This window comes from Homo sapiens, chromosome 7, assembly GCF_000001405.40.
Source record: "Homo sapiens chromosome 7, GRCh38.p14 Primary Assembly".
NCBI classification, from domain to species: domain Eukaryota; kingdom Metazoa; phylum Chordata; class Mammalia; order Primates; family Hominidae; genus Homo; species Homo sapiens.
In genome coordinates, this window is record NC_000007.14 from 45,623,836 (window position 1) to 45,648,362 (window position 24,527).

General features: G+C 44.6%; 1 protein-coding gene across 4 annotated transcripts in view, besides 1 other annotated feature; it reads left to right on the plus strand.

Moving 5' to 3' along the window:
* The window catches only part of ADCY1 (adenylate cyclase 1), a 148,977-nt gene that overhangs the window by 49,696 nt on the left and 74,754 nt on the right, over positions 1-24,527 (plus strand). The gene's annotated exons all lie outside the window — the stretch shown is intronic.
* Positions 21,867-22,780: an enhancer, noted in NCBI's record as "H3K27ac-H3K4me1 hESC enhancer chr7:45685301-45686214 (GRCh37/hg19 assembly coordinates)". NCBI's record gives its function as "activates a minimal SCP1, AML or CMV promoter by ChIP-STARR-seq in naive H9 embryonic stem cells {active_cell/tissue: H9 hESC(naive)}" and the evidence as "EXISTENCE:reporter gene assay evidence [ECO:0000049][PMID:30033119]".

The window sequence follows — 24,527 nt, forward strand, 5'->3', positions numbered from 1 at the left end:
GCCCAGGATGTGATGCTTTTCAGGGCCACTGACCCACCCGAGTTTCCTTGGACCCCAGACACCTAGCATCCCTGCCCTGTGAGGGTGTGGGAGGAGTACAGTGAGATGGAGCCAAGTTCAAGTTCACCTCTTGTCTAGCCTCACTCCAGGTGGTCAGGGAGGGGCGCTGAGATCAGTGTGAGAGGAAGGGGCAGTGAGCTCTGTTCAGCAAGGCAGCATCTTTTCAGAGAAGGTGACAGTGAAGAGTCTTGAGGGAAAATGTGGATGCTCCCTTAATGAAGGAGGGGAGAAGAGGGCACCCTGATTGGGGGCTGGCTTGTGCAGAGTCCTGAGGGGCATTCTGAGCACAGGGCAGGGCTGGGCAGGACAGAGCCAGGCGGTAGTCACACGAGCTGAGGCCGGTGAGACTTGCCATGCCTGGCAGCAGTTAGGGGGACCCACTGGAGGTGGGAGAAAACTTGGGAGCCTGTTGCAGACACCTGGTTAGGGAGAGAGGTTAAGGTAGGAGGGGCAGGGGGAAGGAGGGTGGGCATGGGGGATTTTGGACGCTACTCCCTTTGGAAGATCCCTGTGGGGAAGAAAAGGTCTTGAGATCCAGTTGTAAAGTCACTGTTTACTTTTCTAATAAACAGTGGAAAAGATCAGCACCTTTTACTTTTCCAGTAAATAGTGGAAAAGTAAACTGACTTTACAACTGGATCTCAAGACCTTTTATTCCCCACAGGAATTTTTGTGGGCAGTCACACCCCATTGATAGCCTGGGCCAAAGTTCCACAGCAGCCTGTTTGGGAAAGCCCACTTCATCTTTCTGCTGGGCACTGGAGCTTCTGGTCTGCAATGCCCTTGCAGTCTTGTCTGGGCTGTCCACTAGGCTTGTCCCCTGGACTGTGCAGCCAGTATTGTGTCCTGGGCCTGCTCCTTGCTTCCCACCCCTTCAGCAGGAAGCTGGTCATCTTGGGAACTTTTTTCTGGAGGGTCCCGCTTGGCCCCACCTGGGCCTTTTCTCTCTCACCGTGCTTGGAGCTGATGCTGGGCCCTCCACTCCTAGCATCTGATTGTCTTCCTGGCAGTCCTGAGATGAGCACCTTTGTCTGTGAGGGGACAGGACCCACGTTGGGTCAGCCCAGGCCCTTTGCAGTCCTGCTGTAGACTCCCTGTGGCTCTAGTTCTCTTATGAGGCACCTTATTTCAGCCCAGTTGCTTTGCAGTTTCTTCCTTTGATAAAGAAGTGCTGGCTCCTAGGAGAGGCTGAAGGTGTCACGGAGAGCTGCCTGCTGCTCATGGTGCTGGGCTGTCACCCTGGTCCCAGGCCTTGGCTTCTGCTGTTCCTTTCTATCTGTGCCACTGTCCAGGGTGTATGGGCGGGGGCTCTGGGCCTGTTTCGAGGCATCGTCACATGCTCTGTCATCTCATGTTTCCATGTTCCAAGTGGCTCCTTGAAACCTACTTGGCTCTTTTGCCAGGACACTGATTCATGCCTGGGATGCTGGCTTACATACTTTTATCAAGAAGAATGCACACACGCATCAGAGAGTGGGTGACGTACGTGGTGGAGATGCCTGATGGGTCAAGTGGAGTGAGAGATGTATTGAGATGTGTGTGCCTGTACATATGTGTGTGAGTGTGCACATATGTGAGCATGCATGTGCACACGTGTGTACACATGAATGTGTGAACATGGGTGTGCATGTGTGGGAATGTACATGAGTGAGCCTGTGTGCCTGCAAATGCATATGTGTGTTATGTGTGTAGATGTGTTACATGTGTGAGTGCTTACATGAACACACGTGTGTACATGTGTGTAGGTGAGCATGCATGTGGTATATATATGAGTATGTGCATGTGTGTGTACCTGTGTGAGTGTGCATCTGTATATGCATGTATGTGCCTTGTGTGTCCCCTGTGGGTCACCACCTTTGGTTGGGAACATTCTCTTGGAGACCTTTGGCAGCACAGAACACAGTCACCTCATGAGAAATGGGGACTGAGCTGACATGGTTTTGTGTCAGGGGAGTCTGTCCTCTTGACTTCCCATGTGTGCACGGATGTGTGCATTGCAGACACCTGCTGAAGCACAAAGCCCTGCACTCTGCTATTTGCTTCTCCCAGTGACCATGCAGGATTGTGGTGTTAACCCATGTCCAAGAGAAGGAGATTGAGGGTCAGGGAGAACCAGCTACTTCCTAGAGGCTTGGTGGCTCTGGACCTACCAGCCCCTAATGCGAGGCTCTCTGCCTGGGGTTAGCTGACGAGGTCTGTGAAGGGCAGATAGTAAATATTTCAGGCTCTGTGGGTTACGTATCGTTTCTGTTGCAGCAACTCAACTCTGCTCTTGGAGCACAGAAGCAGCCACAAATACGTAAACAAATGGGTGTGGCTGTACACCAGTAAAACTTTACAAAACAAGGAGTGGTCCACGGCCTCAGCGTGCCAGCCTCTGCTCTAAACCGTGACACCCAAACAGTGTTACGTTTAAAGACATCCATACGCCCTGTGTTTGCCATGTGCCTGCCCAGCAGCTGAGCAGTGGCTGATGTGTTGGCCTCTGGGCGGTGGAGTGTCCTGGGAGTCAGCCCCGTGGAGCCTCCAGGTTGTGCTGCTGGCCGCCTTTGTTCTTGGGGACGCTGTTTCTGGGTAGCAGGGCTGACAGTGCTGGCAGAGGTTAGGATATCATTACAGCTGCAAGATGCCTTCATGCAGCCCTTGAATTCTGCCAGCTGAGAGCTCCACGTGCCCACGAGGAGCACAGCAGAGAGAAATGAAGCAGCAGTCCCTGCAGCAGCAGAAATAGCATCACCCCCGATAACTACAACTCTGGTGTAAATTGGCTGCTCAGTCCCCAGCAACATTTGAGTTTGAGCTGAAGAGAATATTTTCTAGTTTCTAGGAACACATTATTGTAAATGGGATCCATTTGGGCATGAAGCCCTTGACCACATGGGAGCAGAGGGGAGCTCGATTAGGGATCTCACCAGCCAGGCAGGAAGGAGGACGGGGCCTTGCCCTAGTGCACTAATGCCACCACAGAGTGACAGCCTTGGGGTGCAGAGGGCTGGGCAGTGTGTGGGTGGGGGCACATATTGACCAGCAATTGTTTTATAGCACTAGAGGGCCAGAAGGAGATGCTCCAATGTGAGCAGATGCAGGCACAAGGGGCTGGACCTGTTTCTTCTCTTGACCCCTGCCCTCAAAATCAGGGTAGAACTTTAAGAGCCTTAGTTGAAAGTCTTGAGTTTGGCTGCACTATGCAACATGAGGAGACAAAGGCCAAGTTGTTGACCTCACAGAAGTCTTTGTAACATCCTGGCCAGCACATGATGTCATCTTCATTCTAAGAGTGAGCAGAATGAGGCTCATGTGGTAAAACAACATCCCCAGAGCCACAGCCAGGATTGGAAGCGGTGTCATTATGGCTCCGAAGCCTGTCTCCCTAGAAGAGAACTCCTACTCATCCTTGAAAGCCCCAAAGGCCATCTTTTCTCTAGGTCTCTGCCCACTGGGCCTCTGACCTTTCACCAGCCTTCTGTGGAACGGGTGCATCCTGTCCAGCTAACCCTACTCATTCATCACTGTGTGTGTGGCTGTTTTCCAGGGAGGGGTTGGCCTGTGGACAGCCCATACACATGTCTGAGTTGGCACTGAGTCCCAGCGCTGACCATGGAGCCTGGCACACAATGGCTATCCCCGCCTGTTTAAGTGGGACAGTGCCATGCCAGTGTGTCCTCTCCGATGGATTCTAGACTCCTTGGCCTGTTACCTGAAGCTGGGGGACCTCTGATGGCGCCCACATATGAGAATGGCCAGAGGAGGGGCTGGGGTGGCCTACAACAGGCACTTTTTGGCCAGCAGGAGCCTCATTTGGGGAAGCTGAGTTGGGCTGGGAGCAGGGTCAGTACCTGGGACAGCTGGCTTTGGGTTTCCTTAGGGCTCAACTATCTGTGCATGATGGCTCTGAAGAGCAGGGGCCACTTCTTACCCTCCCCATAGCTGTAAACAGGCTCCAGAATCCACTCGTGGGGAGATGCATCTGCAGAGCAAGCACAAGTCTGACTGGCTGTCACCAGGTGGTAGTGAGTGTCCTGTGGGGTTGGAGGGAGGATACCAAGCTCCCCAAGACCCCCGGCGCCCACTTCGCATATGCACAGCCATGGCTGAGCATGAGGCTGCCCCTGGCAGGCTCCTGGTGGGGAGGTTCTTTGCTATTTCTCAGCACATGATTGAGAAGCAATTGTCATGTCACCTGGGACACCTTAAGGTGGATTCTTAGGCCAGATCCAGAACCACTCATCAGAGTCTTAGGGATAAGGAATCTGCATTTTGCTAACTGCCCTGGATTTTGCAGGCCAGAGGCTGAGAGCCACTCTCTAAAGCTTGTGCTCGTATACAGGCCACTAGGCCTCAGAGGTGGGTCTCTTGGCATTCTCCACTCTGACCCCATGGGTTTTCCTCACACCCCAACCTTCCAGCCAAGTGAGCCTCTCGCTTTCCCTGCCTGAAGACCTCGGTTTCCGCCATCCATCTCCATGCTCCTGCCCATGCTCTAGCCCCTCCAGACCCCTGCACAGTTTGTAATGGACAGAATGGAAACACATCTTTCTTCACACAGCAGGGAAAGTGTTTCCCTGTCCTGGGATCCTTGCAGAGTGACCTGCCCAGACTCTATCAGGGGTGGAGGGTGAGCGGTTTCTGGAGGAAGGGGAACATGGGGAGTATATGAGGAGGCACCCCTGCCCTTCCCCAAGGCAGGACATCCCATGGGCTGTGTTTTGGTGTCTTTAGGAAAATTATTAAGAAGAGTTCTCGAATATGTGTGGATGACTTTTTGAATACAAAGGGAATCTGTCAATTTTCCTAGGAAAGGTTTACATAATACTCTGTCTTCTGCAACCTGGCATGCTTCTTTCTTCCAACAAACTGCACCACGTGTGGCCTAACTAGTGCCTGCCTTCCGATAATGCGTGTGAGTTCTGTGGTTCAGTACCTCTGGGATATGTTACACCTCACCGGGATTTCTGCAGCAGCTCCTCATGGGGTGAGCATGAGGAGCTCTTCTTCCTGTTTCAAACCTTTCCTCAGCTTCCCACTGTCCTAGGTGGCACAGAGGGCTCCTTACTTTGAAGGTATGATTGACTGATAATGAGCTGCATATGTGTACGGTTCTGTTCATTTGGGCATATGTACACGTGTGAAGCCATCACCACAGTCAAGATGCTGAGCATATCTTCCAGTGTTTCCTAGACCCTTCGCAATCCCTGTCTCCTCCCACTTCTCATTTTACTCTCTCCCTGTGTCCAGGCAACTACTAATTTGCTTTCTATCACTACAAATAAGTTGGAATTTTCTAGAACCTTATATATATGGAACAAAGCAATATGTACTCTACATTGTCTGGCTTTTTTTCACTGAGTGTAATTGTTTTGAGATTCAACCAACTTGTTGCATGTGTCAGTACTTCATTCCTTTTCATTGCTTAGAATCATCCCATTTTGTAGCTGTACTGAAGCTTGTCTGTTTATTCACTTTTTGATGGACATTTGGTTATTTCTAGGTGTTGGTTATTACAAATAAAGCTGCTATGAACATTCATGTACAAGTCTATGTATGGGTATTCAGTTCTCTTGGGTAAATACCTAGAAGTAGAATGGCTAAAAAACATGGCAGATGTATGCTTAACTTTTTTTTTTTTTTTTTTTTGAGACGGAGTCTCGCTCTGTCGCCCAGGCCGGACTGCGGACTGCAGTGGCGCAATCTCGGCTCACTGCAAGCTCCGCTTCCCGGGTTCACGCCATTCTCCTGCCTTAGCCTCCCTAGTAGCTGGGACTACAGGCGCCCGCCACTGCGCCCGGCTAATTTTTTTGTATTTTTAGTAGAGACGGGGTTTCACCTTGTTAGCCAGGATGGTCTTGATCTCCTGACCTCATGATCCACCCGCCTCGGCCTCCCAAAGTGCTGGGATTACAGGCGTGAGCCACCGCGCCCGGCCGTATGCTTAACTTTTTATGAAACAGACACAATGTTTTCAGAGTTATTGTAGCATTTCACATTCCCATCAGCAGTGTGTGAGTTCCAGTTGCTCCGCATCCTCATCAGCACTTGATGTGGTCAGTCTTTTTAATTTTAGTTTTTTTCTAATAGGCATGTGGTGCTATTTTATTGTGGTTTTAATTTCCTATTTTTTAATAGCTAATGTGGTTGAGCATCTTTTCATTGCTTATTGGCCACTCATTTATCTTTTTGGTGAAGTGTCTGTTGAAACCTTTTGACCACTTCTTTTTATTTGGGTTGACTTTTTTCTTTTTGTGAAGTTTTGAGCATTCTTTGTATGTTCTACATATAAGTCCTCCATCAAATATATGATCCCTGAGACTTTGGCTTGTTTGTTTATTCTCTTAACAGTGTTGTTTGAAGAGCAGAAAGTTTTAGTGTTTATGAAGTCCAGTTTATCAGTTTTTTTAATGCATTGTAACTTTTGTGTTGTATTTAAAAAGTCTTTGCCCAAAGTGCTATAACTGTGTGTTGGTTTCCCAAGGCTACTGTGGTGAAGTACCACAAACTTGGTGGCTTGAAACAACAGAAACTTCTTTGAGAGCAGTTTTGGAGGCCCGGATTCTGAAATCAGTATTGCTTGGCCAAAATCCAGATATTTGCAGAACGATACTCCATCCAGAAGGTTCCAAGGGAGAATTTGTCCCTTAACTCTTACATCTTCTGTTGGCTGTTGGAATTCCTTGGCTTGTGGGCCAGTCTCCCTCTGTCTTCATATTGCTGTGTGTTCCTCTTCATTCTTCTGTTTTCTCTCACTCTCTGCCTTTTCCCCCTCCCTCCCTCTCTCTTTCCCTTTTTCTGTATGTGTGTAAAATTTCCTCCTGCCTCATTTTTATAAGGATACAGGTCATTGTATTCAGGGCTTATCTGGATAATCCAAGATGGTTTCCCTATTTTAAGATCCTTAATTTATTACATTAGAAAGATCTTTGTTTTTGTTTGCTTTGTTTTGTGCTTTGCCATGTAAGTTTGCATTTACAGATTCCAGAAATTTGACTGTGGGTATCTCTGGGGGTCTCGGGAGGCATGGAATTTCAGCCTACCACACACTGAGAGCAGCCATCCAAAATCTCTCTGGATTTCAGTCTCCTTATTCAAAAATAAGACTAAATATGACTATTTTGGTTGGTTAGTGAGAAGTAAAATAATGGAAAGTAAAATAATAAAAGGTCTAAAGCATCTAGCACAGTGCCTAGGACAAGGTTTACACTCAATATATGGTAATTATCATTGTTACCAGGAAAGCTGTGATCAGTGGGGTCAGTGTTGTTAAAACTATGCAGGTATTTGAAAATCCAACTTGAAAATCATTGAGACCCTCTAACATAAAGATATGATAAACTCATTTTAAAAATCCCATCAAGTTCTTAGATAACCAGATAACATTTGATGCTAGAAATTGTCCATTTATCAGCTTTGTCTGTTTTAGAGAATTGTCAAATAACGTTGTCCTTATTAGCATTATAATGCAACCGGATTCCATTTTAACTCTGCAAATGTCCTCTCATTCTGCTCTGTGCAGGAAACTGCTAATCACTGGTACGGGCATATGTAAGGAGAATACAATCTGTGACTTAGTCTGCCTCACAATCCAGCAGGGGAACAAAAGTTTTCCTTAAATACTTGTTTTACAGAGCACATACTATATCACAAGTAAATTGAGTACTATTTCACTTATTCTCAATTTTATAAGCTCTGCATCCAAACTTGAAAACAAACATCATCCACAAAAAGTCAAAGCATTAGATGCAATTATCAGATTAATGTTTAATAAGGTGAAAACACAACATAGTGTATTCATAATTTTTGTGCGCATGTGAATTCTGTAGCTTTACAAATACACATTGTCCTAAGGAAAACTCACATGAGAAAGATACACAAATAATCACAATCATTTGTTTCATTTGCCAGCTATCTAAGCCAAGCCTGCATATCTCTGCATCTCAGAGTAAGGTTGCAAAGTAAATAAATATATACCTACAAAAAATAAAGTAAAAATCTTTGCCTAACCAAAGTCAGATTTTCTCCTGTGTTTTCTTCTAGGGGTTTTATAGTTTGAGGTTTTACATTTAAGTTTATAATACATTTGGAGTTAATTTTTGTGTATGTTTCGAGGTATGGGTCAAAGCTGGATTTTTTTTTGTTGTTATCTTGATATCTAATTGTCCCAGAATCATTTACTGAAAAGACTATCATTTCTCTACTGAATTCCCTTTCCAAAATGTTAGAAAAATCACTTGTCCATATGTAGTTGAATGTATTTCTGGATTTTAAAAAATTCTGTTCCATTAACCTATGTGTTTATCTTGACATCAAAAACCACACACCCTGGCCCTGTAGTTTTATAATGTATAGTCTGGAATCAGGTCCTGTGCTTTATCCAAGTTTATTGTTCTTTTTCAAAGTGATTTTTGGCTATTCTAGGTGCTTTGCTTTTCCATGTGAATTTTAGAATCAATTTGTCAGTTTCTGTAACAAAGGCTGGTGGAATTTTGTTTGGGATTTGTGTTGAATCTATGTTACCAATCTTCGGAGGATTAACATTTAAAAAATAGTCTTCTGATTCACGAACACTGTATGTTTATTTAGATTTATTTAGATATTCTTTAATTTTTTCTCAGAAAAAATGTATAGAAAAAATTCTATACATTTCTCAGAAATGTATAGTTTTCAGTGTATATGTATTTCTTTTTTCTTTTTTGACACAGAGTCTCTTTCTGTTACTCAGGCTGGAGTGTAGTGGTGTGATCACAGGTCATTGCAGCCTCCACCTCCTGGGCTCAAGCAATCCTTCTGCTTCAGCCTCCTGAGTAGCTGGGACGACAGGCACATGCCACCATGCCCAGCTAATTTTTAAATTTTTTTTTTTTGTAGAGACAGGGTCTCACCATGTTGCCCAGGCTGGTCTCAAACTCCTGAGCTCAAGAGATACTCTCGCCTTGGCCTCGCAAAGTTGCAGGGATTACAGGCATGAACCACCATGCTCGGCCAATGTATATGTGTTTTATATATTTTATCAGATTTATTCCTAAGTAGCTCCTAGCTGTTTCTTTTTTAGACGGAGTCTTGCTCTGTTGCTTAGACTGGAGTGCAGTGGTGTGATCTTGGCTCACTGCAATCTCTGCCTCCCAGGTTCAAGTGATTCTCCTACCTCAGCCTCTGGAGTAACTGAGATTACAGGCACACACCACCATGCCTGGCTAATTTTTGTATTTTTGGTAGAGACGAGGTTTCACCATGTTGTCCAGGCTGGTCTTGAACTCCTGGCCTCAAGTGATCCACCTGCCTCGGTCTTCCAAAGTCCTGGTATTACAGGCGTAAGTCACAGCACCCGGCCAATGCTGTTGATTTTTAACTTTTAATTTCTGATTGTTCATTACTGGTATAGCAAAATACAGTTGACCCTTGAACATCACGGATTTGAACTGTGTGGATCCACTTATACATGGATTTTTTTCAATAAATATATTGGAAAATACTTTGGAGATTTGTGATAGTTTGGAAAAACTCACAGATGAACTGCGTAGCCTAGAAATATTGAAAACATTAAGAAAAGTTTGAGTATGCCATGAATACATAAACGATTATACATGTATTTAGGTTGGTGCAAAAGTAATTGTGGTTTTTGCCTTTAATAGCAAGGCCCGGCACGGTGGCTCATGCCTGTAATCCCAGCACTTTGGGAGGCCAAGGCGGGCGGATCACGAGATCAAGAGATCGAGACCATTCTGGCCAACGTGGTGAAACCCCGTCTCTACTAAAAGTACAAAAATTAGCTGGGTGTGGTGGCGGGCGCCCGTAGTCCCAGCTACTTGGGAGACTGAGGCAGGAGAATCGCTTGAACCCGGGAGGCAGAGGTTGCAGTGAGCCGAGATCGTGCCACTGCACTCCAGCCTGGTGACAGAGTGAGACATCATCGCAAAAAAAAAAAAAAAAAAAAGTAATAGCAAAAACCGTAATTACTTAAATTACTTATAGCAAAAACCACAATTACTTTTGCATCAACCTAAATAGATACTAGCCTATTTATATGTTAATCAACTGTTAATGTTATTGGTAAGGTTTCTGCCCAATGGTAGGCTATTGGTAGCTATGTTTTTGGGGGTAGTCAAAAGTTATACATGGATTTTCAACTGTGTGGGGGGTTGTCACTCCTAACCTGTGTTTTGTTCAAGGGCCAACTGTACAATTGAGTTTTTGTATTGATAAACTGTACTGAAACTCCGCTGAGCTCACTCATTTCTGGTAGGTTTCCGTATACATACGTTTTCTACATAAATCATCATGTTGTTTGCAAATGAAGACAGATTTTCTTCTGCCTTTCCCGCTTGGGTGCCTTTTATTTGTGTTTTCTTGCCTTCTTTTACTGGCTAGAACCACCAGTACAATGTTGAATAGAAGTGTCAAGAGCAGGCATTCTTGTCTTGTTCCCAACAGTAGGGGAAGGCATTCTGTCTTGCATCATTAAATATATTACCAGTTGGATTTTTTGTGGATACTTTTTATCAAGTTGAGCAAGTTTCCTTTTATTTCTAGTTTGCTGAGTTTTTTTTTTTTTTTTGATTCAGAAATGGATGTTGAATTTTGTCTAATTCTTTTGCATCTATTGGAAGGATCATATGGTTTTTCTTTTTAGTCTGCTCATATAATGAATTACCTTGATTGATGGTAGGATATTTAAACATCCTTTTGTTCCTTGGACAAGCCCTACTTGGACATAAAGATGGTCCCCGACTTATGATAGTTTGACATATGCTGTTTTGACTTTAAGATGATGGGAAAATGATACACATTCAATACAAAGTGCCTCCCTCTCGTGATGCTGGGAGGCAGCAGCAAACCACAGCTCCTGATCAGTCATACAGTTTTGACTTTCAATATTTTCAACTTACCATACATTTATGGGTTGTAACCCCATCAGAAGTTGAGGAGGATTTGTATTGCATTATCCTTATTTATTGTTGGCTTTGCTTTTCTAAAATTTTGTTTAGAAAATTTTTCATTTATGTTACTTAAAGATATTAGTCTGTGGCTTTCTTATTCTGTACATGGTGTCAAGATAATGCTTAACTCATAGACGAGTTTGGGAACATTTCCTTTTGTTGAATTTTTTGGAATAGTTTTTGTAGAAATGGTATTCTTTCTTTCTTAAATGTGTAGTAGAATTTACCAGTGAATCCATCTGGACCTGATATTTTCTTTGTGGAAAAGTTTTTAACTACAAATTTAATTTCTTTAAATAGAGCTAGTGAGGTCAGTTTTTTTTTTTTCCTTAAATAAGCTTGGTGGTAGTTCTTCATAGTATTTCCTTGTTTTCCTTCTAATATCTGTAGAATCTATAGTGATGTCACCTCTTTTATCCATGGTTTTGGTAAGTTTTGTCTTCTCTTTGATCATTTTGGCTACAAGTTTATCAATTTCATTGAGTTTTTAAAAAATAACTGCTTTTCATTTGATTGATTTCTCTATTTTTTCTATTTAGTTTCTTTTCGTATCTGTATTATTGTTTTTCTTCTGGTTATTTTGGGTTTAATTTGTTCTTCTTTTTGTAGTTTCTTAAGGTGGATGCCAAAGCCATTAATTAAACATTTTTTATGTCTTTTAATATAAGAATTTATTGTTGTAAACTTACCTGAAAGTATTACTTTAGCAGTATCCCACAGTTTCTGGTATGTTGTGTGTTTTTCTAATTCTGTTCAAAATACTTTCTAATTTCTCTTGTTTTTTTTTTTTTTTTTTTTTTTTTTTTCCAGACCCATGGGTTATTTAGAGATGTGATTCAGGGATATTTCAAAGATCTTGTTTTTTACTTCTAATTTAGTTCTTTTGTGGTCAGAGAACATACTTTTTATTATTTGAAGCCTCTTAAATTTATGGCCCAGAATATGGCTTACTTTGGTGGTTTAGTGCTCTGATTTTGTAGAATTCTGTTGTTAAGAGTGTGTTCAGTAAGTACCAATTAGGTCAATTGGTTGATAGAATTGTTCATGTCTTCCATATCTTTATTGATTTCCTGGCTACTTGTTCTCTCAATTATTGAGAGAGGGGTATTAAAATCTCCAACATAATTGTACATTTTTTCTTTCAGTTCTATTTTTACTTCATGTATTCTTAAACTGTTATTCAATTTTTAAATATTTGTAATGGTTATGTCTTCTTGATAAATTGACTATTTTATTATTAAGAAATGACCTTCTTTATTCTGGTAATATTTTTTGCTTTGTAATCCCATTTGTCTGATATTAATAGAGCCATTTCAACTTTCCTTTGACTATTGTCAGAAAGAATAGTTGTCACTCAATACTTACAGGGCATTGTTCTAAGACTACCAATGGATACCAAAATCTGGATACTCAGGTCCCTTATAAAAAATGGCATAGTATTTGCATATAACCTTTATACACATCCTCCTCTATATTTTAAGTCTTCTCTGGATTACTTATAATATCTACTACAGTGTAAATGCTATGTAAATAGTTGTTATGCTGTATTGTTTGGGGAATAATGACAATAAAAAAAGCTGTACATGTTCAGTATAGATGCAACCTTGATAGGCCTAACTACATTCTGTCATCTGCAGTTGGTTGGATCCATGGATGCAGAACCCATGGATGTGGAGGGTCTGTGTCTTATTCCATCCTTTTATTTTTAGTCTGTTTGTGTGTGTTCGTTTGTTTGTTTTTGTTGGGACAGAGTCTCGCTCAGGCTGGAGTGCAGTGGCGCAATCTTGGCTCACTGTAACCTCCGCCTCCCGGGTTCAAGAGATTCTCCTGCCTCAACCTCTCTAGTAGCTGGGATTACAGGTGCACACCACCACACCCAGCTAATTTTTATATTTTTAGTAGAGAAGGGTGTTCACCATATTGGCCAGGCTGGTCTCGAACTTCTGACCTCAGGGAATCCGCCTGCCTCAGCCTCCCAAAGTGCTGGGATTACAGGCATGAGCCTCCATACCCAGCCTGTTTGTGTCTCTTTATTTGAAGTTTGTTCTTAGTTTTGCTTTTATTTTTTCTACCTAAGATGACAATCTCTGCTTTCAATTGGAGTGTTTGGACTGTTTGCATTAGTGATGTGGTTAGGTTTGGTCTGTTACCTTGCCATTCGCTTTTTGTCTCATTTGTTCTTTGTTCCCTTTTTTGTTTTCTTTGGCCATTTTGCTAATTTATTATGTTTTATGATTTCATCTCACTGCCTTTATTGGCTTACTAGTATAATTCTTTGTTTTGTTATTTTTGTGGTTGCTTTAAAGTTTATAATAGGTATTTTAACTTTTAGCAGTCTACCATCACATGATTTATTAATTACAGCATAAGAAACTTACAATTATATACATCTGTTTCTTCCTTCTTGGCCTTTATGACATTGTTCCCATACATTTTACTTTTTCTAGTGTTATAAACTCCATTTTACATTTTATTTACACAGTCAATTCTCTTTCAAAGCAATTTAAACAGTAAAAATATCTGATCTGTTTATTCATGTAGTAACTATTTCCTTTGCTTTTCATTCATTTATGCAGTCTATTTCTTTGTGTTTTATGTATCTGCCTAAATTTCTTTTGGCTGGGTGTGGTGGCTCATACCTGTAATCCTAGCACTTTGGAAACTGAGGTGGGAGGATCACTTGAGGCCAGGAGTTTGAGACCAGACTGGACAACATAATGAGACCCCATTTCTACTGAAAAAAAGAAAAAACTTAACTGGGTGTGGTGGCACATACCTGTAGTCCTACTTATTTGGGAGGCTGAGGCAGGAGGATCGCTTGAGCCCAGGAGTTTGAGACTGCAGCGAACTATGATCACATCACTGGACTCCAGCCTAGGTGATAGATTGAGACCCTATGTGTGAAAAGATAAATAAAAGAATTTTAAAAAACATTTCTTGTAGTGCTGGTATGCTGGTGATGAACTCTTTCAGTTTTCGTACTTCAGAAAGACTCTATTTTGCCTAAATTTTTTAAAATGTATTTTCACCACATGGAGAATTCTAGGTTGACAGTTTTGCTTTGTTTTCTTCAGAACTTTAAAGATGTTGTTCTATTGTCTTCTCTCATGCTGTCTCCAATAAGAAGTCTACCATCAACTGTCTTTCTTTGTTTGAAATAGGTCTTCTCTGTCTACTTTTTTTTCTTTTCATCACTGGTTTTAAGAAATTTGATTTTGATGTGAATTTGAGTTTTCTTCATGTTTCCTATGCCTGCAGTATGTTGAGCTTCTTGCATCTGTAGTTTTACAGTTAAATCAAATTTGTAAAAACAAAAAACAAAAAAAAACCTGGGTGATCCTTTTTCAAATACATTTTATGACTCCTCCTCTTCCTCCTTCGGGGACATCAGTTCCACATGTATTAGGGAGTTCCACTCTTGAGGGAGCCTGTAGCTCATTGGTGATTTTCTTCAAAATTTTTGGATTCTTTTCCTTTCTATTTCATTTGGATAGTAGCTATTTTCTTCTGCAGTGTATGTCATGTCATTAATTTTATCCAGTATAGCTTCCATCTCAGACACTCTAGTTTTCATCTTCAGAAGTTCAATTTGAATCTTTTTTCCCTTTGTTGAGGTAACTGCCTGAAAGTTCAAAATTGGAATGACCCAGTTTGCTCCTTTTTTTTTTTTTTTTTGTATTACTTGTTTGGTTTTTCTTTGTGCATTGTTGGTGTTACGTATTTTTCAAGTGTATGTTTTACTCTAATCTGCCTGAGTCAGTTTTTGAGGAGCACATAGGAGGATGTGTGTGCCTCATATGTGCTGGTCTTGTGTGTGAGTCCCTGTTGTTGGACATGCAGGTGGCCCCTGTGAAGTAGGAGCATGTGAGATGCGTGTCCCTCAGATGTGCTCACGTTGTGTCTGGGAGTATGGCAGCAATGGAGCATGTCTTTTAAATGCTTTGGTCTCCATAGGGGCATTATATGCAGGAAAGAGCTACCTTTCCTTCTAATGGTTTATAGTGAGTCGTGGCTGCCAGATGTCCATGCATACTGAAGCCCACTGGTAGCCAGGATGGGTCATATTTAGACTGTAGGCTCAAGGTTGTATAATTGATGGCTGCAAGGGCCTGTTTCTGAGTCTCTGGTGTTGGAGATGCAGGTGACCCCCATGAAGTAGGACCACATGGGATGTGTGTCCCACATATAAACTTGTCATAAGTCTGAGGCCCTTGTGTTGGTGATGCAAGTGGCCCCTGTGACGTGCAGGCTTGGAAAATTACACACAGCTACAGTCCAAACATATCTTTCTCTATGAAGGTCTCTGGGGGAAGTTAAACAAACACAGAACATGTTTGCCTTAGTCTCGATAGTAGCTGATGGTTTATTTACCTCCTTAGCCATGGTTGATAGTCACAGATGTGAACAATATTTTTGACCTTTTCCCCATTTATTGGATACTTGTTAGATTTACATTTGCTTTAATACCCATGTATATTTGGGAGACTGGCCACACCCCTTTGAATTGATGAGAAACACCTGCCAAGGCCCAGTCTCATTCCACCTTCACCTGTGGAGGGACAGGGCCCCTTCTCTGGATGTCAGTTTTCTTAACAGGAACATGAACTGGTTGAACTAAGCATACAGTTCCTTCATCCATTTCCAGAAGACTGTGGGGCAGCATGGAGGGGTTCACTGTGTGCCATCTGCAGAGGTAAGACAATCCTAGCTTGGCAGGTTATCAGCTGGGCTGCCTGGGGCTCATCCTGATCCCATTCCTCAAGTGGATGGGAGCACAGCCCCTTAGTTCTGGTCATAACTCCAAGACCCTTCTGGGAACATTTTTTTCCCAATGAGAGCACCTCACATTGTTGTAAGTTCTCAGTCCCACAGTGACTGTTTCCTGGCGCATGCCAGAGATGCATTCAGATTTCAGATGGTACAGGCGGGTCCCTGATGGGGATCAGTGCAAGAGTAGACTGGTCAGTGTGGTGAGGTTAGACAACCCCCATGAGACATTCCCATTCCTTGGACTGGGCTTGAGGCTACCTGGATCTAAGTAATCCTGTGGGATATGCTGAGCCAACTGATGGCCTCTGAAAGTCTGTGCTGACCCCAAACATGGACACATCAGTAGACATTCTGATCCATGGGGACCCAACACAGAGGAGTAGTTGAGCAATGATTTAATGAGTGTTTAAGTTAGGATCGCTTGCATTCATATAATTTGCTTTAAGGGAATATAAGACAAGTGTTGTGCCGGGTTTAAGAATCCTCCTACAGGCTGACACAGTACTGGGCCTCCTGGTCATAGATGACAAGGCGAACATTCATGGCTTTATGGTGCAGTTGTTACTCAACTGAACCTAGCTTTGATTGCCCAGCACAGTAAAGCCAAAATATCTACATGGAGGGAGAAATATCTACAGCAGGAGAAAGAAGGGCCTTCATTTGCAGGGTGCCAAGCAAGGAGAATTGAGCAGCTCCCGCTTAAGACAGAACCTCTCCAATGGCTTGCAAGCAAGGTTTTTAAAGGCAGGGGTAAATTTCAGGAAAGCAGAAGTTACAGACAAAATCATAAATTGATACATGGTAGTTATACACTGGTTTGGCCTAAAAAGATGGGATATCTTGAATAGGGATATCTTGAATAGGACTCCTAGGTAGAGTCAAAGTCAAAGATTTTCTGATTTTTAATTGGTTAAAGAAGAGAAGTTTTGTTTAAAATGTCGAGGCAACAGAAAAGAATGTCAGCTCTGGCTTGTGGGTGTGACTTCCTTCAGGCCCTTAAGGAAGAAATTTAGGACAAAGATTGGCAGTCAGAGTTCAGTCCTCAGTTCTCCATTATTTGAGGTCGCCAGCATATCCATTTGGGGTCTAGGTTTCTAAAAAACAACTCAGGGACATATGTTAAGATGTTATCTTTATTTTCTATAGGGGACCAAACATCCTTTAACTTTTAACTATTGTTAAAGTAACTTTAACTTCCTTGGCTATTGTTTTAAGCTACTGTTATATTCTTGCTTATCAGGTTGCTCATTTACCTCTCAGGGCTAGCTGGGAGCCTGGAATTTCCCTTGAAGGAACTCAGGATTTTCCTTTATTTCCATGCTTGTGGGGTCCTGCATACCCCTAAGAGGGGTCCCTGCTCTATCTCACAGTCTGACCATTTTGTTCAACCTTTAATTGCCAAAAGATGACATTATTATGGCTTGTGTTAGTGAGGTCATTATTTTTCATTTATTTTGTGTTTACTCTGGATATTTCCAAAAGGGACTCATGGAAGCCAGCCCAGGAGACAGAGCTGTCCCTGTCAAGTCTCAGGTTCATGGAGCTGTGTATTCACTTCCATACTTCCTCAGCCCCTCCCAGCCTTTGCTCTCCTTGTGGATCCTTTCACTGGGCTTGATTCCGAGGCCAGGAATCACCAGGCAGCTGCAAGGACTGCACCCACGTCATCCTCATGTCTTGGTTTCTATGACTATAAAATGTGAAAAGGACACTGGAAAGTCTGTACATCCTTTGCTGCTCCCATACCCCAGTTCTGTGAGCTGCTAAAAAACTGGCCACACTGGAGGCCTGAAGTGAATTCTCACCCGTAATGTAGCTCCAACAATTGTTAATGTCTGGTTAGTCTTGTTTGGTCTCTACCCTCTGCCTTCCCTCAAATCCTAGACATCATCTCGCTGCCTCCATAAATCCTTTAACTCTATCATCTGAGAACTTTTGACCTGGCACCACCACGATACCATTATCATACCCAACCAAACTGATGAAAGTTACATCATCTCTAAAACCCAGTCTGGGCTCGGTTCACCCTTGTGTCTCAAAAATGTCTTTTCGGCCGGGCGCGGTGGCTCACGCCTGTAATCCCAGCACTTTGGGAGGCCGAGGCAGGTGGATCATGAGGTCAGGAGATCGAGACCATCCTGGCCAACAAGGTGAAACCCCGTCTCTACTAAAAATACAAAAAATTAGCCAGGCGCGGTGGCGGGCGCCTGTAGTCCCAGCTACTCGGGAGGCTGAGGCAGGAGAATGGCGTGAACCCGGGAAGCGGAGCTTGCAGTGAGCCGAGATTGCGCCACTGCAGTCCGCAGTCCGGCCTGGGCGACAGAGCGAGACTCCGTCTCAAAAAAAAAAAAAATGTCTTTTCATCCTGGCTGATTTGTTCCAACCAGGATACAAATGAGATGGACATATGTCTTGATTGTCTTGCGAGATTTTAATATTTGGAGGTGACTGAACAATGACACAGACAGTCCCGTGCCATTGAGGGAAGTTTATTACTCACAGCCTGTAGACCAGAGGGCATGCATGCCATGCCAAACAGGGCCACACAGTGAGCACCCAGGTCATCAGCAGGCAGAAGGAGGAAGGAGACAGTGTGGCCTTGAGCCTTCATTGTGGTTTCAGGGTAAGGAAGGGGTGGGGCAGGTTAAGCAGCTTATCAGGTTTAGGATTAGATAGTTTGAATAATGTGCATGGGCTCAGGGCTATAGGAGTGGGCCCTGGTTTGTACCTGGCCAGGGGGTGATTTAGGGCAGGTAGGTGAGAATTAGATTAGACAAAGGGTGGTCAGGGGATGGACTGGGGATGGGTTGGTTTGCATGTGAAAGTATTTACTGTTTCTAGGAATTAGCTAGTCTTGGGATTTCCCTTTTAGTCTTTAACAGTGCCCCTCCCATTTTGGCCCCCCATCCTCTGTGACATTTTTTTATGTGCTCCTCCTGCCCACTTGTTGGCTTCTATGAACTGGTAGATCTTCAGGAGACTTAGTAGTTTCTTGGATCTGCTTTTGTTGTTGTTGTTGTTGTTTTAATAACCCTTCCCTGGGTGGCTGTGCACTTCTCGTTGCTTCTCTCTAGCAGGCAGGTGCTGGCTCCTTTTCTTCTTGCCAGGTTGAGGTTGATGGTGGAGCGGTTATCAGTGAGACCCGTCCATCAATGGTCTCCCATCCACATTGCACCCAATGGTTTTATAGCAGCTGCCTTGCAAGCATGGCTGACATTTTGTGTTGCATTTGACTTTGCAAGGTGGAGGTTTTTAATTCCCTAATTTCTTCAGCATTATTAGCTCATGATTTTTTCTAAAAAAGAATACTTATTCAGCTATTTGGTTATTCTCAAAAATAGTAAATGTTCAATTCTTTTTACTTATCAGTTTTCAAAATAATAATCAGCACCCCGTTATGAAGTCATGGATTTTTAAAAATTTGATGTGTTTTGATCGATTGCCGTCTTTTTTATTTTTGGTGTTAAATTTCCTATTTTGGCAAGTGGGAGCCTGTTCAGGTTACTTTCTGTTTTCTGTCTTTTTTTTTTTTTTTTTTAAGGTCAGTCACCTCTGAGCAGCATCTTCAGACTAATCATTTTTCTAGAAGGCCTGGTTTCTTTCAGTGGGAAATGGTTTTTCAACACCATAATCTGGGTTGTAATTGGTCCGAGGCTTTTTAGGGCATTGAGATAGGATTTTTTTTTTAGGAAAATAAAAATAAATTATGAGTTTATATTGATATTTCCAATTCACTTCACTCCTTGGATTTTTATATTTGTATCTTTTTGGTGATGCTGAAAATTCTAATGACAGTAATATTATTTATTTCATCTTTCCATATATAGTAGGCTCAAAATAACATTGCCAATATTATTTTCAACAATAAGTCTGCTGAATGCAATTGGAGATTTCTTTGTGGTTATTTTTGTCCTTGCATTATATTCTACCAGACATACAGTCAAATATGCATTTTCTCATCGCTCGAAATAATTCTTCTCTCTGTGGTCATGCTGGTAACAGGTTTATTTCATTTTGGTTTTGATCTTTTAGGTATAACTGTTTTTAATTTTTCTTTTTAGGCACATAAAATAATTGCATGGTTCAGTTCCACAGTAAAAAACCGAAGTCGAGGTACATGGAGAGACCCCTCCCTTGCTCACTGTTCCTCCCGTGCGTGTAGTTAGATGTTTGTGCTGGGTTTCCCCTTGCCCCTCCATGGTTCCTTTTGGTTTCTTTTTGATGCTGGTAGTGCATGCACTGTGAAACTGTTCCTGGAGAGTGCTTCCCAACAGGGCACGCTGATTCCTCAGTCCTCCCCTGAGGCAGGGAGGCTTCCGGGGACCTGATTTGATCCTGTTGATGAACAGGTGTCTGCAGAGTTCTTGTGTTTCAGCTCTTCTGCGCTATCTCTGTAGCAGGAAGCTTCCTCTAGGGTTTTCTAAAATTTCTTATTTCGTTCTTCCACTGATAGCCAAACACTCCAGTCTTACAAAGTTAATTGGACTTGGCCAGTTTGGGTTTTGGATGCAGTCACTTTCGGGCAAAAACTGGATTGATTCAGGCTTTTCATCCTCTCCTTCTCCCAGGTATCTGTTTTCTTAGAATTGGGATGCAGTGTGCGAGTCCATGACCTCTCTGGACTCTACTGTTTTAGAGCTGGCCCTAGAGCGGCCTGGGCATGTCAGAGCTCTGGAATTGGCAGTGGATCTTCCTGAGCCACTGACTCTCTGCTTTCTTCTAGACGTTACCTCTGTGCCCTTCTGGGACGGGTCCTGGGGCTGGGCAGGGTCAGAGTGCACTGGCCTATGTGAGCCCTTTTTGTTCTAGACCCTTCTCTGTGGCTGCCTGCTCAGTCAAGGCCATGATGGGCCCAGACTGTCTGCAAGCTGGCCGCAGCTCTTTAGGCCATACCTGGAGCAAATCAGGAGACTTTCCTATCTGGATTCTCCTGCAGTGGCTCTGTTATACTGAGAAGCTTCTGTTGTCATGTCACCTGCCTGTAGTCCTGTCCCTTTCAAGCCTGGGAGGGAGGGGGCAGCTCTTGTCCCTTAGGGCTGAACATGCCTCTGAGCCCCTGCCAACCCTCCATCTCATCTTCTTCTTTCTTCTTTTGGAGGAGACACAACACTTCCTGTGGTGCTTTATTGCAGTGGACTCTAGGTGCTGACTTTCCATATTTATACAAAAGAGTCTAAAATCAGAAACACTAAAACCAATTAGAAATACCTTTTTTGATCTCTTAAGCTTGCTAACAAAAGCCAGGGCCTCTGAGATTAAAGACAAAATAAAGCAATATATTCAACATTTGTCCTAAGCTGTCTCCACTAGTGCCAGCGTGGTGGAGGTGGGTGGGAAAGGGATGCCATGAGGGCCCAGGAGGGTTCTCAGCTTTGCATCTCAGAACAGTTTCCAGAGACTCATGTGTGATGCTGAGTGAGCTGGATATGTGCACACATGTGTGTATGGTATGAGTTGCCCAGGTTCTAGGAGAGGATTGCTGTTCTAAAGACAAGTGTTCTGGACAATTTCTTTAGAATACACAAGCCCTCATCTGCTTGTAAGGCCTTGCCACATGACCATGTGCATGTGGATAGCCTGTGCTAGATGGCTTTGCCCTTGGTCCTCATGCAGAGATAGGTTCTCCCCACTCACAGCTCGCCCACACCATGCAGTGACGGTCACACTTGAGGCTCCGTGGGCATCTCTTTAGCCTTCATTCCCGTGTGCTATTTATGCCTCCTTTTACATAGGACTCCTGTAGGGATGGTAATTGAAGATTCCACCCCAGCCAGCCCCACAGCAATGTCCTTTTCTGCGGTGGCCATGCCAAGTCTTGGTGTCAAATAGGATAGTTGGGTTGACAGGGTGGGCTGTTTGGAGCAGCTGTACTGACAGGCCCCACCTTTGCCTTTTACCCTGGAGGCCCTGCTACCATCAGATCTGACTGGCCTGTTCACTCATGCACACTCATCCCTTCAGCAGCCTTGTCCTGCACACCTGTCCCACTCCAGGGATAGGCTTGTTCTGGACTCACAGAGATGACCAGGAGGCCCTGGTAACCACGGGACCCTGGAAGGATGCTGGGAACACAGCTCAGAGCTGAGGTGGGGGCAGGGACACTAGCAGTTGCCCACAATCCCTGAGTCCACTCACGCACATGAGATGCAGGGATGATCAGGGACCCACATCACCCTCAAAGTCCTTGACGTCCAGAGCACAGGTCCTTAGAGTTGGGGATTGGTGACCCTCCCAAAACCATGTGCAAGAAGAGTTCCAGCAGCCAGTGGGCATTGTGGCTCTTGTGGGCTCCCAGAGGGGTCTTGAGCCCTCATTTGGGCCTCTGAGAAGAAATCCTGATGTGTCAGGGCTATCATCACAGGTTGTGAGTGCTCACGGGGTTTCTAATCTCAGGGAGGGGGTGGGAGGTGGCAAGGGCTGGGTGGAGGAAGCCTGAGTATGAGGTGTGGCCGCTTCCCCTTCCTGGCAAGCCCTGTGCATTCAGGCCTGTGTCTGACCGTTGGGGACATTTGGGGGATGTTTGGAAGCAGGCCTGAATGCACAGAGCACACCAGGGCAGTGCCAATGGGGACAGGGTAGTGTCCCAGGAGAGAGCCCAGAGCTGACTGTGGGCCTGGAGGCTCTGGTGAGTATGGCTTGAGAAGGCTGTCCGGTCGCATCCCTGGTGAGTCCCTGAGGGGTCCTGCCTTCAGTTTTGCAGGACAGAGACTGGCGCTGGCAGCCCACGCTGGAGTCCAGTGAATGGTCATTCAAGCTGGGCCCTGAGGGGCTGGCACTGGAACCAGGCAGCAACCATGTGTCCAGGTCACTTTTGTGGCCTCTTGGCTGTACCTTCCCTGGGACAGGACACGGTCCTTTCTGTGAGCACTGACTGTGGTTCCAGGCCATGTCATTGCTGCAGTGACAGTAACCATGGTGCCAGCCACTGCACAGAGACCCTTGCCCAGATCATCACTGGTCCTCCAAGCAGGCATATCCTGACCCCTTTGAAACATTTGGACACCTGGGAAACAGCACTGTGGGGCCAAGCAGCCTGCCCTTGGGTGGAGTGGACCTACCTACCCAGCTCTGAACTCATGCTCCCGGGCCCCTGCCACAGGCTCATGTCAGCTGCAGCTCAGCCTGCTGGGGGATGAGGGCAGGTGGGAAGGCCCCCTTCTGCAGATGAGGAGGCCAGGGTTCTAAGGGCTAAGTAGTTGTCACAGTCATGCAGAGATGGAAGGGACCCTAAGTGGCCAGACCCTGGATGTCTTTGTACTGTCACCAGCCTCTCTGTGACCAGCTCCCTGTCAGCAGGAGGAGCCTGCCGGGCCCTCACAGAGCAGACTTGGACCCTGGGCTTTACAAGGCTGGCCTCAGTGTCCATCTCACAGACTGAAATCTCTGATCACCTCCTCCCCTTTTCTCCCGTCCATGGTCTTGGAGTGCTGAGGGAGGCTCAGTGGTGGAAGGAGCTGGGCAGAGAGCCAACTGTATGCCCAACAGCGCCCCCTCCTCTGATGCTGGGCGGTGGCCAGGGCCATCTCTCAAGGTCCCTGCAACGCCAGGCCTGAGGGCAGCTCAGGACAACAGCAGGGTCATCAGCTGTCTGCTCAGCTCTGGGAAGATACTTCCATGGACAGGCCATTCAGCTGCTAGGCCAATCCCTGCTCAGCCTGGGAACTGGGGCTCCCAGCGGTCGGTGTGGCCTGTCCCTGTCCTGACTCACTCTGTGCTGGCCATGGTTCCTTTTCTCTAAGAATGTGGGGCACAGATGAGCACAGGGGTCATGAGAGCTGATGATTCTCATTCCAAATGCACTTGTGTTAACTCAGCATTCGACAGGACCTGCAGGGCCCCAGTCATTTGTAAGAAACCAAAGGATCACATTAAATATAAGCCACCGATGTGTTCTCAGAGTGGCTGAAGGAGTTCTGTGGCCTTATAAGACCATTTCAGGGGACTTGTGAGGTCCTTCCTCATCCAGCACTGTGCTTGTGTGAGGCTGGTTCCTTCACGGGCATCTGCAGAGATAGCACAGCACGAAGGCTGGATGCAGAAGTGGGTCACAGAATCCACTGTCTGCCCTGGAGATGACGGCACCACAGAGGCTCACAGAAGTGGACTGCAATACTGTGCTTCTCACTCATTGTCTTTTGTTTGGGGAAATGTCGTGATTTTTCATAAAATGTTATTTATGTTAACATGCAGTGGATTCATTATTATTTTAAATGCATTTGTACATGAAAAAATTCTTATTGTTAAATATCAGTAGCTATAACCCACCTACACAAAAAGTTTTAGTTTTTAGTGAGTCCTTAGTGATTTCAAGACATAAAGGGGTCCTGAAATGGAAATGTTTTAGAGCTGCTGTTTTAATGTTGTCCCTGAAATAAACACAACAGTCGTGATGATAATCCCAGTTGACACTGATTGATCCAAGTAAGACAATACAGGGTCTTAGAGTTAACTCTCTCCACCTTCCATGTGCCCTGTGAGGCTGGTGCTGCTGTTCCTATTCATACCACTGTACAGACGAGCAGATGGACATTCAGCTTTGGCCAGTGCCTTCTGCCTCCTGGGAGTGTGCCCTGTGGGTGGGGAGGTCAGAAGCCCCAGGGACACCCAGATGGGTGAGAGGTCCACCCTTCCTGGGGAGAAGCAGCTGCTGGGGGGAATCTAGCACATTCCAGAGGGCTGTCCGTGATGGTCTGCATGGCGGTTAAGGGAGGTGCCGTGGGAATAAAGGGAGTTGGGGAAGATGCCCCATGGAGATGGCATTCCAGCCGG